Raw genomic sequence first — 15,091 nt, 5'->3', positions numbered from 1 at the left:
TTTGTGGTAAGTCCCTTCTATGCCTAGTTTGTTTTTATCATCAAGGGATGCTGAATTTTATCCAATGCTTTTTTCTGCATCTATTGAGATGATCATATGGTTTTTAATTCTGTTTATGTGATGTGTCACATTTATTGACTTGTGTATGTTAAACCATCCCTGCATCCCTGAGACAAAACCCATTTGATCATGACATATTATCTTTTTGATGACAGCAACCCTAATATGAGAATCCAAAACCTGAAATGCTCCAATAAGCATTTCCTTTGAGTGTCATGCTGGAGCTCAACAAGTTGCAGATTTTGGAGAATTTCAGGTTTTTGGATCAGGGATACTCAACTTGTACTGAGATGAGAGAAAATGGCATATATCTATGCTGTCAGCATGAAAATTATCATCATCTCAGACTTTTAGATAAACCTCAGAACCAACACACACACACAAATCCCAAGCAGTAATATTCTGAAGTGAATAAAATGAATACCTGGGTGAACCTGGAGGTACTTCATGTGAAGAAGCGCTTCGTTCAAACAACAATCCATATTTAGTGGGCCAAACATTTGCAACCTTTCAGGTAAAAGGGTGGGAAAAGATAGAAGTAAGAGAACCTACCCCTTTATAAAATGTTTTAAAGAAACATTACAGAATGTTTTATTTTCCAATTTAGTAATAGCTTTACAAAGTAACATAATCATTAAATATGGTATTTTCTTAAAAAGTAATACAAATAAGCAACTCTAAGATAAAATCAAATCTAATAAAGAGGAGTTGTTCAATGTGAAATTCCTGCCACTGGCCAGGATCAGTAACAAAATGACAATGTGTTAACAATAGCCTTAGGCATTAAAAAGACGATGAGTAACAAAAAAAGACTGGTGTTATTCATATGCCTTATTTAATATAACCAAAAGTTCTTACATATCATTTAAACCAACAAACACATACCACAGAAGACTTCCTAATTTACTTCATTAAATAACTTATTTTTTTGTGAAGTACAGAAAAATGGTAAGCCACTAAAGCTGCCAAAATTTAGTTATTTTGAGTAAAAATAACATTTTTGACTACTACGAAACATGAGACATAAGACATGCCTCTAAAACCAATTAATTCAAAAATGTTCTCCAACAAAACCCCCCCAAAATTTGAAACACTTGTTTACCTGAAATGGTAAGGAAGCTATGTAATCCTTTCCTTCTATGCTATGCATGTTAATACATGAGCTTTGCAATATACATATGCATTTTTCTACTTCATTGCTACCTGAAAAGAAAGGGTACAACAAGACTTATATGTTTTTTCCCTCAAAGGAATTCAATCCTAACAGCACAAATTATTTAATGCACAATATAAAGATGCTTATGGTAAACCACTATTACTAGTGGCTACTTCATTTGAATGAAAAATACAATGAGATAAATATTTGGAATCATCATAAGAAAAATAAAATTTCAAAAAGAAACTTACTGTAGGCCTTTTCAGACTTATCCTGTGATATAATGAAGTCACACCACAGTGCCTAAAATCAAAACAAAATGCTTACCTAAGAAAATTATATCTAAATAATCATCTATTAACTAATGGCATCTAAATAATAATAATAGCATCTACATAATAACTTTGCCTCCTCAGCTCAACATGTACAATCATGGGAACAAAAAGAATAAGAAAAAATAAATTAGAGTAATAAATGATAAATATGATAAGGAAAGACGAAATACGTTTACAATTAAATTTTATGAAAAGATCCATAGGAATTAAAATTTTAAATTAAAAAAATAAATTTTACAAAAAGAGAAGACAAGAATCAAAAAATCTACCAGATAGAAACTTTGCAGCAAAAATTCAAATAGTGGCTCAAACCATACTAAACCCTATATCCTATATAAAACTAAAGATTATTCAAACTTTATAATCTCTAGATTAAACAATTGATCTTATTCTTAGACTCTCTCTAGACTGACTTTTGAAAAAGTATTTAGAAAAATTAACTCCTCCTTTTCTTAAAAGCCCATCTTACAAAATATAAACTAGGAAAAGCTATTAAACTTTAACTGACATACTTGGCAATCACTTATTATTTAACAGCATTTTGTGGTTTTTTTTAAACTGTGGTCAAATATACACAATATGAAAATTAACATTTTAACAATTTTTAAGTAGACAATTCAGTGGCATTAACATTAAATTGATGAGCTTAGTACAATTTGTGAGCTTGTACAATACTGCACATTTCCAGAACTTTTTCCTCATCTCAAACAGAAACTCCGTGCCCATTAAACAATACTCCCCATTTCCCAATGCCCTGAGCTCTGGTAACCTCTATTCCACTTTCCCTATGAAAAGGCCTGTGCTAGGTATCTCATGTAAGTGAAACTGTACAACATTTGTCCTTTTATATCTCTTTTATTTCACTTAACATAATGTTTTCAAGGTTCATCCATGTTATGGCATGTATCAGAATTTTATCCCTTTTTAAAGCTAAACAATATTCCACTGTTAGCATATACCACATTTGTTTATCCATTCATCTGTCAGTGGACATGGGTTGTTTCTACCTTTTGGCTGTCATAAATAATGCTGCTGAAAACACTGGTATACAAGTATTTGTGAGTTCCTGCTCTCAATTCAATTGTGCATATACCTAGAACTGGAACTGCTGGATCATAATGGTAATTCTAAGCGTAACTTTTCTTTTAAGAGATGGGGTCTCACTCTGTCACCCAAACTGCAATGCAAGGCATGATTCTAGCTCGCAGCAGCCTAGAACTCCTGGGTTCATGTGACCCTCCTGCCTCAGTCTCCTGAACAGCTGGGAGTACAGGCATGCACCACCATGCCTGGCTACATGTATAACTTTTTGAGAAATTGCCAAACTTTTCCACAGCAGCTATGTTACATTCCCATCAGCAATGCACAGGAGTTCCAATTTCTGGACATCCTCACCAACATTTGTTATGTTTCTTTAATAACAGCCAACCTAGTAAAGTGGTATCTCATTGTGGTTGTAATTTGCATTTGCCTAATGATTAGCGAAGCTGAGCATCTTTTCATGTGCTTATTGACCATGTGTGCATCTTTAGAAAAATGTCCATTTAAGTCCTTCTGCCCAATTTTTTAATTGGGTAGTTTGTTTTATTGCTGAGTTGTGGGAGATTTTAATGGTTAAGAAATGAAAATTCATGAAGAAAACCATGCATGAGAGCTGTGCTCCAACCTGAAACGTCCAAAATCTACAATGCACCGATTACAGTCTCAACTTCCTTTCATGAAATCCCATCCTCTCAGCCTCTAAAAGTAAATATTTTAACATCTCTTTTATCCCTGATACCTAAGAGATCACTAACCCCTTCCACATCTCCCTCTGCTTTATCACCCCTTCTTTGCCAAGGCACCAATCTTTTACCTGAACAGTCACAAAATAGTGCCCCTGACAACAGTCTCCCTCCTCTCCAGTCAATCCTATATATATATTGCTAACAAAGCAATCTCTTCTCAAAACACAAAATTGATCGCTTCCATTTTAAAATCCTTGGCAAGCTCCCTTCAGCACACAGCTTAAAATCCAAATTCCTTGGTTTATATACAAGGCCCTTTGGTCTGTATATTGCCAGCATCCACTTGCATCTCTCCACACCCACTCTTTTTGTACAGCCATTCTGAAGTTTAAAAAGTCATCTTTTTCCATAATTCTTTTTGCTATGATTTCCTCTGCCTAGAATGCCCTTCTGCCACCATTTTATAACACAAATAGCATCTTCTTTGAAAAACCCTCCCTTTGGCACTCAGTCCTTTGGGCTCTCATCACTCTGTGGACAGGTAGTTATTATACAGCATTCAGAATACAGCATTTCAGTTGATCTGTTTGTTCTCCTTTCTAGGCTATGAGTCCTTCAATGGCAGAAACTACATTCACCTTTGTAGCCCCAGCATAATGTCTGAAACAGAGTGAGACTAAATACTTGCAGAAGACCAGGCACAGTGGCTCACGCCTGTAATCTCAGCACTTTAGGAGGCCAAGCCAGGAGGATCACTAGAGCCCAGGGGTTCAAGACCAGCCTGGACAACATAGTGAGACCCCCATCTCTATTAAAAAACAAAAAGAATAAATGAAAAAATAAAAAGAACAACCAAAAAAAAATACTTGCAGGATAGGTAAAACAATGAACAGATAAAATCGGAGTCACATATACCTGATATTATTTCATAAACAAAATAGAAAATTATCTTTCTCCATATTAGCAAGAAGATTAAGTAACAATATATTTTCCAGATCAAAAGACTGAAATTCCAAATCTTACAATTACACTTACAAGTGATCTTAAGATAAAGGAGATAATGTATCTAACTGCACTTCCATGGAATCTAGTAAACAGGCAACCATTCTTGGAGAAATTAAGATGAAGATATAGAAGCAAAGAACTACTTGGATATCATCAAATGCACTTTTCACATCTATACTAACTATATGAATTATATGGGAAAAAAATTACCATCAAAAAGATCACTGGCTTCAACACTCCAGGACACAAATGCTTTCACATATGCCCTCAAATGTTGGAATAATGATTCAGTTTATCCTTTCCAATAAATAGTTAGAATACAATACTCACCAGGAAATAGTTAATGGTAGGTGGGAGGAGTGGGAGGAAGCAGTGTCCAGATACAAAGATTTCAGCGTTTACAAAAATGAAACTTAACATTAGTCAAAGCCTCCAAAACCTCTTGTCAACCCTAATTCATCTACAATAAATGCATTAGTTCTTCCTCCAACTTTTTGTTATAAAAATTTTCAGTAAGAAAAGTTGAAATAATGCAGCAGACATATTTCACCTAAATCCAACAATCATGAAAATGTTGCCATATTTGTTTGTATGTGTGCATTTGTGTACATATGGGATTTTTGGAATGGGAATGCTGACTGTCTAAAAATAAATTGCACACACATCATGACATTTCACCCCTAAATACTTCACCATGCCTTTTCTAAAAATAAAGATGTTCTCCTATGAAACCATAAAATCATCATCCCTAAGAAAAAAATAATACTTCTCTAACATCAGCTACTGGCCAGTAATTTTCAACTTTCCCAAATTTTCCCCAAAAATATCTTTTTAGCTAGTTTTCTAAAACCAGGACTCAATCAAAGTTCATTTAACAAGGATCAAAAATTACTGCATTTGGTGATGTCTCTTCAGTCTCTTTCAATATAGAACAGTCCCCACCTTTTTTTCTTTCTCCGTGACTTTTTTAAAGAAACCAGAATGTAGACTACAAACTTTTTATAATGGAAAATTTCAAATAAATACAAAGTAAACAGAATAGGATAATGAATACCCATCAGCCAGTTTTAATAATTATCAAGCTTGGCTGAGCATGGTGGCTCATGCCTGTAATCCCAGCACTTTGGGAGGCCGAGGTGGGTGGGTAGATCACAAGGTCAGGAGATCGAGACCATCCTGGCTAACACAGTGAAACCCCAGCTCTACTAAAAATATAAAAACAAAATTAGCTGGGTGTGGTGGCAGGCACCTGTAGTCCCAGCTACTCGGGAGGGTGAGGCAGGAGAATGGCATGAACCTGGGAGGCAGAGCTTGCAGTGAGCTGAGATCATGCCACTGCACTCCAGCCTGGGTGCCAGAGCAAGACTCCATCTCAAAAAACAAATAAATAAATAAATAAACAACAATAATAATAATAAAGCTTTAGCCATTCCTAGCTATCTATTTCCTTATCTCATGGTATTTTAAAATATAATTCTCTATTGCCTATATTTCCTATAAACAGGAAGTTAGGTCTAAATATTCATATTTTTGGGAAGAAAACTTAGATGACATCACGTACTTCATTCTGTATTACAGCTAGAAGCACATAATATTCCTTCATGTCACTACTAATTATGCTAAACTCAATCACTTGATTGAGGTGGAGATTGACAAATAACTCCAAAGTAGAGGTACATTTGTTCCTTCACATTTACCAGGTAATCCATAGGGTGATGTGTTGGTGCCATGGTAATATTCTTTCAACCAACCGTGTTAGTATCCATTTACAATCCTTGTTTGAATCCATTATTGCAATGGAGGTTACAAAATGGTGATATTCTAATTCTACAATTCCTTTTACATTTATTAGCTGGCATTCTTCTCTAAGTACAAGTTTTCCTTCATCAAATGGAGATGAACTGCATGTCTTCCTGAAAAAATATGGCAAATGCTTAATTCTTTCCCTTTCATTATCAACTTTCAGAACAGTTAGTTATAACAGCCAACTGCAATGGTTGCAAAGCAGATTTTTTCCTTTCTCTCTACCATTATGAATCCCACGATTTTTATTTATTCAAATCTTTGCAATCAATTATAGTAATCATGTGTTAAAATATTTCTGTACTCTTAATGTTTCATAGGTTTTTGCTGGCAATAACAAATTGAATTACATAAGGACAGAGTGTTTAAAGATTACCATTAAAGTGACAAAGGAGAGTGTAAAAAAAGTGATGATATATAAAATAAAATTAAATTTTTATTTTCCTGCGATTATCTTCACATTACATTATGTCATGTTACAACGTACACCCAGCTGCTGAGATCATTAGGCTGGTTTTATCATTTCTGTTAAATTTTAAAACAAAACTTTTTTTAATTGCATTAAATAGTGAATCAAATGCTAAAATTCAAATCAACTCACCTGCTGAACAGGACTGTCAACTGTAAATGCTTTATAAACTGCCAATGCCTGGCTTTTACTTCCTTTGCTCCATATCACCATATTTCCAGCAACATAGAGTTCCTCATCATAGTCCACATCTTCTCCAATTTCACTTACTCCTTTCCTTAACTGCCAGCTTTCCTTAAAAATTAACACATGTAAGACATATTCAAGGACTCTTTTTTTGTTCTTCAAAAATCTGGAACAAAATTTATTTGCCCATGGAGTAAGACTCAATTCAAACACAACTCCTACAAAGTTTGGTACACTGATTAACAGAGGATGTGGATATATGCATTACATTACAGAATTACATGAAGAATTTACGCAATAATTCTCTATATTGAATGTTTTATATTATTCCTCTATATTACTCTGCCAAAAACAAAAACGAACAAAAAGTACACCTTCTCTATAGTTCCAAAAGTCAAATCACATGCTTGGGAGACTAAAAAGACATATTAAGTATATGAGGTAGGGTAGGGAAAGGACAGTGAGGTGCACGTGGGAATCACTCGGGGAGTTTACGCACAAATGCAGACTTCCTGCTTCACAATCACATATATATTCACCTTCTTTTCCTTTGTCCCACCCACCAAAATGAATGGAAGAAAGAGAAGTTTCCATTTGTAACTACATAGGCTTTCCCTCCCCGAGATTTTGGTATCCCAAAGGGATATGACAATGGAATAAGGCAGGAGGGATTCATTTTCTGACACACACTTAACATCTCATTCCCCTACTTAAGAACTATTACTCGCCGGGTGTGGTGGCTCATGCCTGTAATCCCAGCACTTTGGGAAGCCGTGGCAGGTGGATCACCTGAGGTCTGGAGTTTGAGACTAGCCTGACCAACATGGAGAAATCCCGCCTCTACTAAAAAAAACAAAATTAACTGGGCGTGGTGGCACATGCCTGTAATCTCAGCTACTCGGGAGGCTGAGGCAGTAGAATCGCTTGAATCCAGGAGGCAGAGGTTGCGGTGAGCTGAGATTGTGCCATTGCACTCCAGCCTGGGCAACAAGAGTGAAACTCCATCTCAGGAAAAAAAAAAAAAAAACTATTACTCTACCTACTTTTGTGGCATTTCTTCTCTCCTTTAGAAACATGTAAATCTTCTGCAGCAGGGACTACTTCTAATCTCTACCATTTAATCATTAAATAACATGAAATCTGGTCCCCACATATTAAGTGAAAAGAAAAAGGTTTAAAATGGACAACAATCGTACTACTGAACCTGACTCACATTATAAAACCACAAGTTGGCCGAGCACAGTGGCTCACGCCTGTAAACCCAGCACTTTGGGAGGCCGAGGCGGGTGGATCACCTGAGGTCCGGAGTTCAAGACCAGCCTGACCAAATGGAGAAACCCCATCTCTACTAAAAATACAAAATTAGCAGGGGTGGTGGTGCATGCCTGTAATCCCAGCTACTCGGGAGGCTGAGGCAGGAGAATCACTTGAACCCGGGAGGCAGAGGTTGCGGTGAGCCGAGATCGCACCACTGCACTCCAGCCTGGGCAAAAAGAGCAAAACTCCATCTCAAACAAAAAAATTAAAAAATAAAAAATAAATAAAACCACAAGTTATAGAGGGTATCTAAATAAGTCGCTATGACAATGTAATAAAGTCATTATTTTCAACATTTATTGAAATTACCACACCTTAACTCTACCCTAGAAGTGGCATCACACCGATCTCTCAGTTGCATCTTAGTAGCCTTAAATTACAAGTAGATTATATCACTCTACATTTCAAAAACACAATGGGAAACTCAATGGAACCTTCTGTTTCTCGTGGATTGTAACCTCCTGAAGGGATCCCACAAAGCCAGCAGCACCATTAGAAGACCATAATTCAGAAGCTGGCTGCAGCTGGCGAAGTTGAAGGTTCAAAGCATTAGGGTGGTGCTTGCAGTGGTCTCCACCAAAAGGAACAAATTCCTGCAAATCCCTGGCTGCAATCTTCGTTGTCCTTTCTTCATAGAAGTTCGACATGGGTTCCAAATATCAACATTATTTCTGTATGAATTCAAACACATTCTGGTCAGCTTCCAGACTCAAAACTAGAATAAAAATACCATAAACACACAAGTCATTAATCCTTACATAGGTGTCAAGTAATTATATCAGACTGGTAAGTGTATAAGTTGGTCATAACATAAAAGGGCATTCTAGATCTGATTCAGACAGTTGCAATTATCACATTTTAGTCACAGACTGACAGTTACCACTATAGGAAACCACTGAGATGCAACAAGTACTTATGTCCCGCACCACCTATCCCGTGTTTCCCACTACTATACGCTAATTTTTCCATACTTTATATATGAAGTATTTAGACAAGTTGTATTCTGTAGTCCCATAACTACATGGCTTCTCAACATTTAAGGTCATTTCTGGTTAGATGCCAGAACCTCATTTGAAAAGTACATCTAAGGGATCATTGTCATATTGGAATAAAACAATAAAAAACCACACATTACTCTAATTCATCAGAGGTTGAACTGCTTTCAGCTGACCAATCTACAAAAAACATAGGTTATCAAATGTCTTAAGTAGCTGTGACACCCCCAATCCCACCTAAATATATAACTACAATCAATTTCAATTATTGGTCGAAACCCAGAGAACTGAGGCATGAATAACTCTAGCCATGGAACAGTTATGCTTGCAGATTTAAGGGTATTAGGTTTTAATTAATTATTACATCTAATTAATCTAATTATTAATCTATTACAGTACAGTTTATTACTAAAAAAATGTGGATAACTGTTAAAGCCTTCATCACAAGGTTAGGAAGCAAACAGGCTTTAGACAAAAGTACAGATAAGCATAATTAGATTGCCCTTTGATCCACTTTCCTGTACCTGTTTATATATACCATGTTCCTATGGACAGCATTTTTAATGTTAGGAGCCTAAGACTTTTGAGATGATGCAAGCTAGTCTTAAGACCCCATCAAGGAACCACATTAGCATGAGAATGTGGTTTATCTCTCTGTCTTATGACTACATCCTTCATTCTCTGACCAATCAATACCTTAGCCCACTACCCTCTCTTTAAAACCTCTGGGCCGGGCGCGGTGGCTCACGCCTATAATCCCAGCACTGTGGGAGGCCGAAGCGGGCGGATCACCAGGTCAGGAGATCGAGACCATGCTGGCTAACATGGTGAAACCCCATCTCTACTAAAAATACAAAAAATTAGCTGGACTTGGTGGCGGGCGCCTGTAGTCCCAGCTACTCGGGAGGCTGAGGCAGGAGAATGGCGTGAACCCAGGAAGCGGAGGTTGCAGCAAGCCGAGATCATGCCATTGTACTCCAGCCTGGGCAACAGAGCAAGACTCTGTCTCAAAAAAAAAAAAAAAAAAACCTCTAGACCTTAACTCTTTTGGGAGGCTGACTTGAAGTTTCCTCAGTCTCCTAGTTCGGTGGCCCTGCAAGTAAAACACTTTATCTGCTGCAATCCCCGTTGTTTCCATGTATTGACTTGCTGCTCATAGGGCAAGAGTCCTATATGGTTACACAAACACCCAAAGCCTATGTAGTTCCTTTGCAGCTCCTCTAAAGCCACAAAGTTATTTTGCTGTGAATTAAATGTTATTCTTGGCCAGGCGCGATGGCTCACGCCTGTAATCCCAGCACTTCGGGAGGCCGAGGCGAGTGGATCACCTGAGGTCAGGAGTTCGAGAGCAGCCTGGCCAACATGGTGAAAGCCCGTCTCTACTAAAAATACAAAAAAACTAGCTGGGCGTGGTGGTGTGTGCCTGTAATCCCAACTACTCGGGAGGTTGAGACAGGAGAATCGCTTGAACCTGGGAGGTGGAGGTTGCAGTGAGCCGAGATCATGCCCCTGCACTCTAGCCTGAGCAACAGAGTGAGACTCCATCTCAAAAAAAAAAAAAAAAGCAGACTTAATTTACTTGAAGTAGTTTGTTTCTTCCTTTTTTAAAAAATGCATTCCTTTGTCAGCAGGTATGGGAGAATAAATTTCTTTCTTAGCTGCCAAAGACACACTGCCAGTAAGAGAGGTCAATAAAAAAAGACTGCTTTATACACATTACTCCATTTGTTCTGTACTGTGATGACTGCTGTTTGCAGAAATTCTCTGGACTATATTGATTTTCCTCTGTTGGTGCATTGATAGAATTACTCTCAGGGGAGAGATTTCTAGGAATGAAATAGAAGACAATGTGAAAAATAGTATGTACAAAGTTCAGAAGATTGCGTTTTGAGATAGTAGGTTTCTAGTTGCTTGTGTAATCTGGAGATTTCTTTTCAATAGAAGTGCAAAATTTGTGCACAGACATACTCGTATTGGTAATTAATTGATTATTTGTTTATTGCTAGAGAAACTTTACCCACTATGTTCAGCATGCTGCACCCACTAGATGAAATAACTCCACTTGTTTGTAAATCTGGAAGTAAGTGTATTTCTATGTTTTTTTAGATAAGCTCTTTTGTTTTTGTTTTTTTTTTGACTTTGGTGAGGGAGATTATAAAGGTGCTCATCTTGAGCTGATGCAGCTTCCAGCTGCATCTTGAGTAATTTAATAGTCATGGAGTATTTTGTGCCACCTGGTACAAGAGAAGAAGTTAATCTATAACAAAAGATCAGTGACTCAGAAGGGAAGGGGTCTTATCTTGGTGCCATTCAGTCTTTCACAACATTTTACAAACAAAAAAAAATTTAAAAAGGATGAATCTATAATCAGATAAGCAGAAGTTGCAGCTGTTAGCTATGTAGCTCAGGTTCCACAGTCACATTTTCTTCAAGCCACAGAATAAGGTTGCAACAACTTATTTAAATTATTTATTTTCCGGCTGGGCGTGGTGGCTCACGCCTGTAATCCCAGCACATTGGGAGGCCAAGGCGGGTGGATCACAAGGTCAGGAGATCAAGACCATCCTGGCTAACATGGCGAAACCCGTCTCTACTAAAAATACAAAAAATTAGCCGAGCATGGTGGCGGGCACCTGTAATTCCAGCTACTCGGGAGGCTAAGGCAGGAGAATTTCATGAACCTGGAAGGTGGAGCTTGCAGTGAGCCGAGATTGTGCCACTGCACTCCAGCCTGGTGACAGAGCCAGACTGCCTCAAAAAAAAAAAAAATTTATTTTCCAAGTCTCATCTGGGCCTCTATTTCTTTACCAGGCTCATTCATTGCACATTTTTTATAGCATTTATTTATTATTTGCTTTTTTAAAAAAATAGATATGAAGTTTCACTACATTAACGAGGCTGGTCTCGAACTCCTGGCCTCAAGTGATCCTCCCATCTCAGCCCCCCAAAGTGTCGGGATTACAGGTGTGTGCCACCATGCCTGGCCTATTATTTGTCTATCTCACAAGACTCTATGCTCCCCGTGGACAAAAATCTTATCTGTTTAGTTTATCAATATATGCACAATGCCTGGAATGCACAGGGCCTGGAATAGCAGAGCATGTGCTCAGTAAGCATGTGTGGGGTGGTGGGCATAGAACACACTGCATTACATGCTGACTCTGATCACACAAAATGTCCTGTGAAGTAGGTGTGATTCATATGAGAACTGTGGGACCCAGATAGGAAAGCCATTCCCCCAAGGCAGGGCACCAGTTAGTGTCCAGCCCAGGTTCCAATTTATGTCTTGCTGATAGGCCCAGGGCCACAAGATACAGATGCTCAGCCAAGGAGGTGAGTGGGGGCTCGAATCTAGACCACTCTGCTCACCAGGTTTGAGCTAAGAGCTAAGACTGCCAAACAATAAGAAAATTTCCCAAACACAAGCTGATTTTAGATCAATCTATCAGAGAATGTTTTGAACTATGTAAAATAATATAAATGCATATGCACCTGCGTATATAGCTATAGATATAATTAGAACCGATAGATCTCTCATTGGCCAAGGTCCTGAGCAAAGCCAGATCCCTTAACTGACACTCAGTACCCCAGCCCATCTCATTTTCTTCCTTCTACTACTGCATTTGTGCACAAAGAAGTAAAAGACCAACAAGCATGGCACACTTAGTCTGAAAAGTATTTAAGGAACAGAGATTTATGTTGCAATAAGTTTGCTAATTTAGATACAGAAATGGTTGATGTCTTCTGGGTAGTCATAATTTTTAAATTAGCTTTTCCTTCTTTTTTTTTCTTTTTTAATAGAGATGGGGGTCTTGCTATGTTGTCCAGACTGATCTTGAACTCCTGGCCTCAAGCGATCCTCACAGCTCAGCCTCCCAAAGTTACAGGCATGAGCCACTCTGCTTGGCCAGGAATTAACTTTTCTACTGGATCAACATTTTTGATCTCCTGAAAAAAAAAATCCCTTTTTATTTTGAGACAAGGTTTCCATTCTGTTGCTCAGGCTGGAGTGCGGTGGCACAATCATGGCTCACTGCAGCCTCAACCTCCTGGGTTCAGGTGATCCTCCCACCTCAGCTTCCCAAGTAGCTGGGACTATAGGCACACGCCACCACCTCTGGGTAATTTTTTATTTTTATTTTTTTTTTGGTAAAGACAGGGTTTCACCATATTGCCTGAGCTGGTCTCCAACTCCTGAGCTCAATCAATCCTCCCACCTCAGCCTTCTGAGTAGCTGGGATTACAAGTGCAAGCTACTGCACCTGGCCCTCTTTCTCTTATTTGAATAATTTCTTTTTGTTAAAAGGCTCACCCTAGAGTCTGGAATTGGTAGAAGCAGAAAAAGAGACTTTCATTTCTTTATGTGATTTTAAAAATCCTGGATATTCTTTCTTATGTTTTTTAACATTTTTTTTTTTATTTTTGATTGACAGTACAATATGAACATAGTGTTTCAACATTTTAAAATAAAATCACTAAAATAAGAAAATTAATGTGGAAAAATAAAAATGTGGGAGGCCAGGTGCGGTGGCTCATGTCTGTAATCCTAGCACTTTGGGAGGCCGAGGCGGGTAGATTGCCTAAGCTCAGGAGTTTCAGACCAGCCTGGGCAACACAGTGAAACCCTGTCTCTACTAAAATACAAAATAAATTAGCTGAGTGTGGTGGCACTTGCCTGTAATACCAGCTACTCGGGAAGCTGAGGCAAGAGAATTGTTTGAACCCGGGAGGCAGAGGTTGCAGTGAGCCGAGATAGCGCCACTGCACTCCAGCCTGGGCAACAGAGCAAGACTCTGTCTCTACAAAAAAAAAAAAAAAAAAAAAAAAAAGGTGGAATGTGTCCTTGGGGAGGTAGTACTAGTAAAGTGTTTGTACGAACTTGATTTTGAGATATGGAGCTGCACTTTGACCTCCAATAGGGGAGCATTCCATGGGCCTGGTCTCCAACTTGGAAATAAACTCTCTAAAGACATTATTTTCTTTGCTTTACACCTCATGTCACTTCTCTGAGTAGGAGGGATTCTGCTTTCATTTCTTTTAATGGTAACAGTGGAATCATTAACTCCCTACTAAAAGAGGCTTATTCAATATATTTTTGTTTGATTTGGGCTCCCTTTGATGGTGGTTAGTTTGATATTTGAGACTTTTTCCTAAGGAGACTATAAAAAGCAATCTAGACTTCTTCTCTTTGATTTGGGTTAGAACTAAGTGTGAGATTTCCAAGTGGAAAGTGAGCATCAGCCTAATAAGCTTTTATTCTACATGGTTCAAAATGTTCTCTGTAAAACTGATCTAAAAATCTGCTTGTATTCTGGAATTTTCTTATTGCATTATCTTAATTTTTTTTTTTTTTTTGAGATGGAGTCTTGCTCTGTCGCCCAGGCTGGAGTGCAATGGCGCGATCTTGGCTCACTGCAACCTCTGCCCTCTGGGTTCAAGCGATTCTCCTGCCTCAGCCTCCTGAATAGTTGAGATTACAGGTGCCCTACCACACCCAGCTAATTTTTGTATTTGTAGTAGAGATGGGATTTTGCCATATTGGCCAGGCTGGTCTTGAACTCCTGACCTCAGGTGATCCACCCTCCTCCGCCTCCCAAAGTGTTAGGATTACAGGCCTGAGCCACCGTGCCTGGCTGCACTATCTTAATTTTTACACTAGTCCTTTTACCTGTTCACTCCTTCCACAGCTATTTAAAGAGCACCCCTCATTTATGAATATAGGAACTGAGGCCTGAGAGTGGGTAAATAGCAGAGAAGCGATGCTAACAGGCACTCTTTCTGCTATACCAGTGCAGTCCAGGCAGGTTATGTATTCTCTGATTCCATTTCCCTTTTCTCTTGGGCACCCAACTAAACTCCATTTTCCAGGCCCCTTACAGTTTGGTTGAGTCCATGTGACTGAGTTCTGGCCAGGCACCACAGTGGCAGCGGGTCACACTGCGATGACCCAATCTAGCAGTTCTCAACCCATCAGACCAGCCCTCCTTCACCAGAACGACTCTTTGTAATGATACTTTCACTGTCCTGAAATGAATTTC

The 15,091-nt window shown here is 38.4% G+C and overlaps 1 pseudogene across 1 annotated transcript in view; it reads right to left on the bottom strand.

Annotated features, from left to right (window-relative positions):
* Window positions 1-15,091, bottom strand: part of ANAPC1P1 (ANAPC1 pseudogene 1) — a 51,192-nt pseudogene that overhangs the window by 32,943 nt on the left and 3,158 nt on the right. Inside the window, exons 2-7 of the transcript NR_037931.2 lie at window positions 8,493-8,729; window positions 6,688-6,849; window positions 5,981-6,196; window positions 1,468-1,519; window positions 1,163-1,263; window positions 485-567 (exon numbers count right to left, since the gene is read on the bottom strand). The product of NR_037931.2 is annotated as an ANAPC1 pseudogene 1 (transcript). The remainder of the gene's footprint in view (window positions 1-484; window positions 568-1,162; window positions 1,264-1,467; window positions 1,520-5,980; window positions 6,197-6,687; window positions 6,850-8,492; window positions 8,730-15,091) is intronic.

Source organism: Homo sapiens, chromosome 2 (genome assembly GCF_000001405.40).
Source record: "Homo sapiens chromosome 2, GRCh38.p14 Primary Assembly".
Taxonomy (NCBI): Eukaryota; Metazoa; Chordata; class Mammalia; order Primates; family Hominidae; genus Homo; species Homo sapiens.
This window is presented reverse-complemented; position numbering and strand designations above follow the sequence as displayed.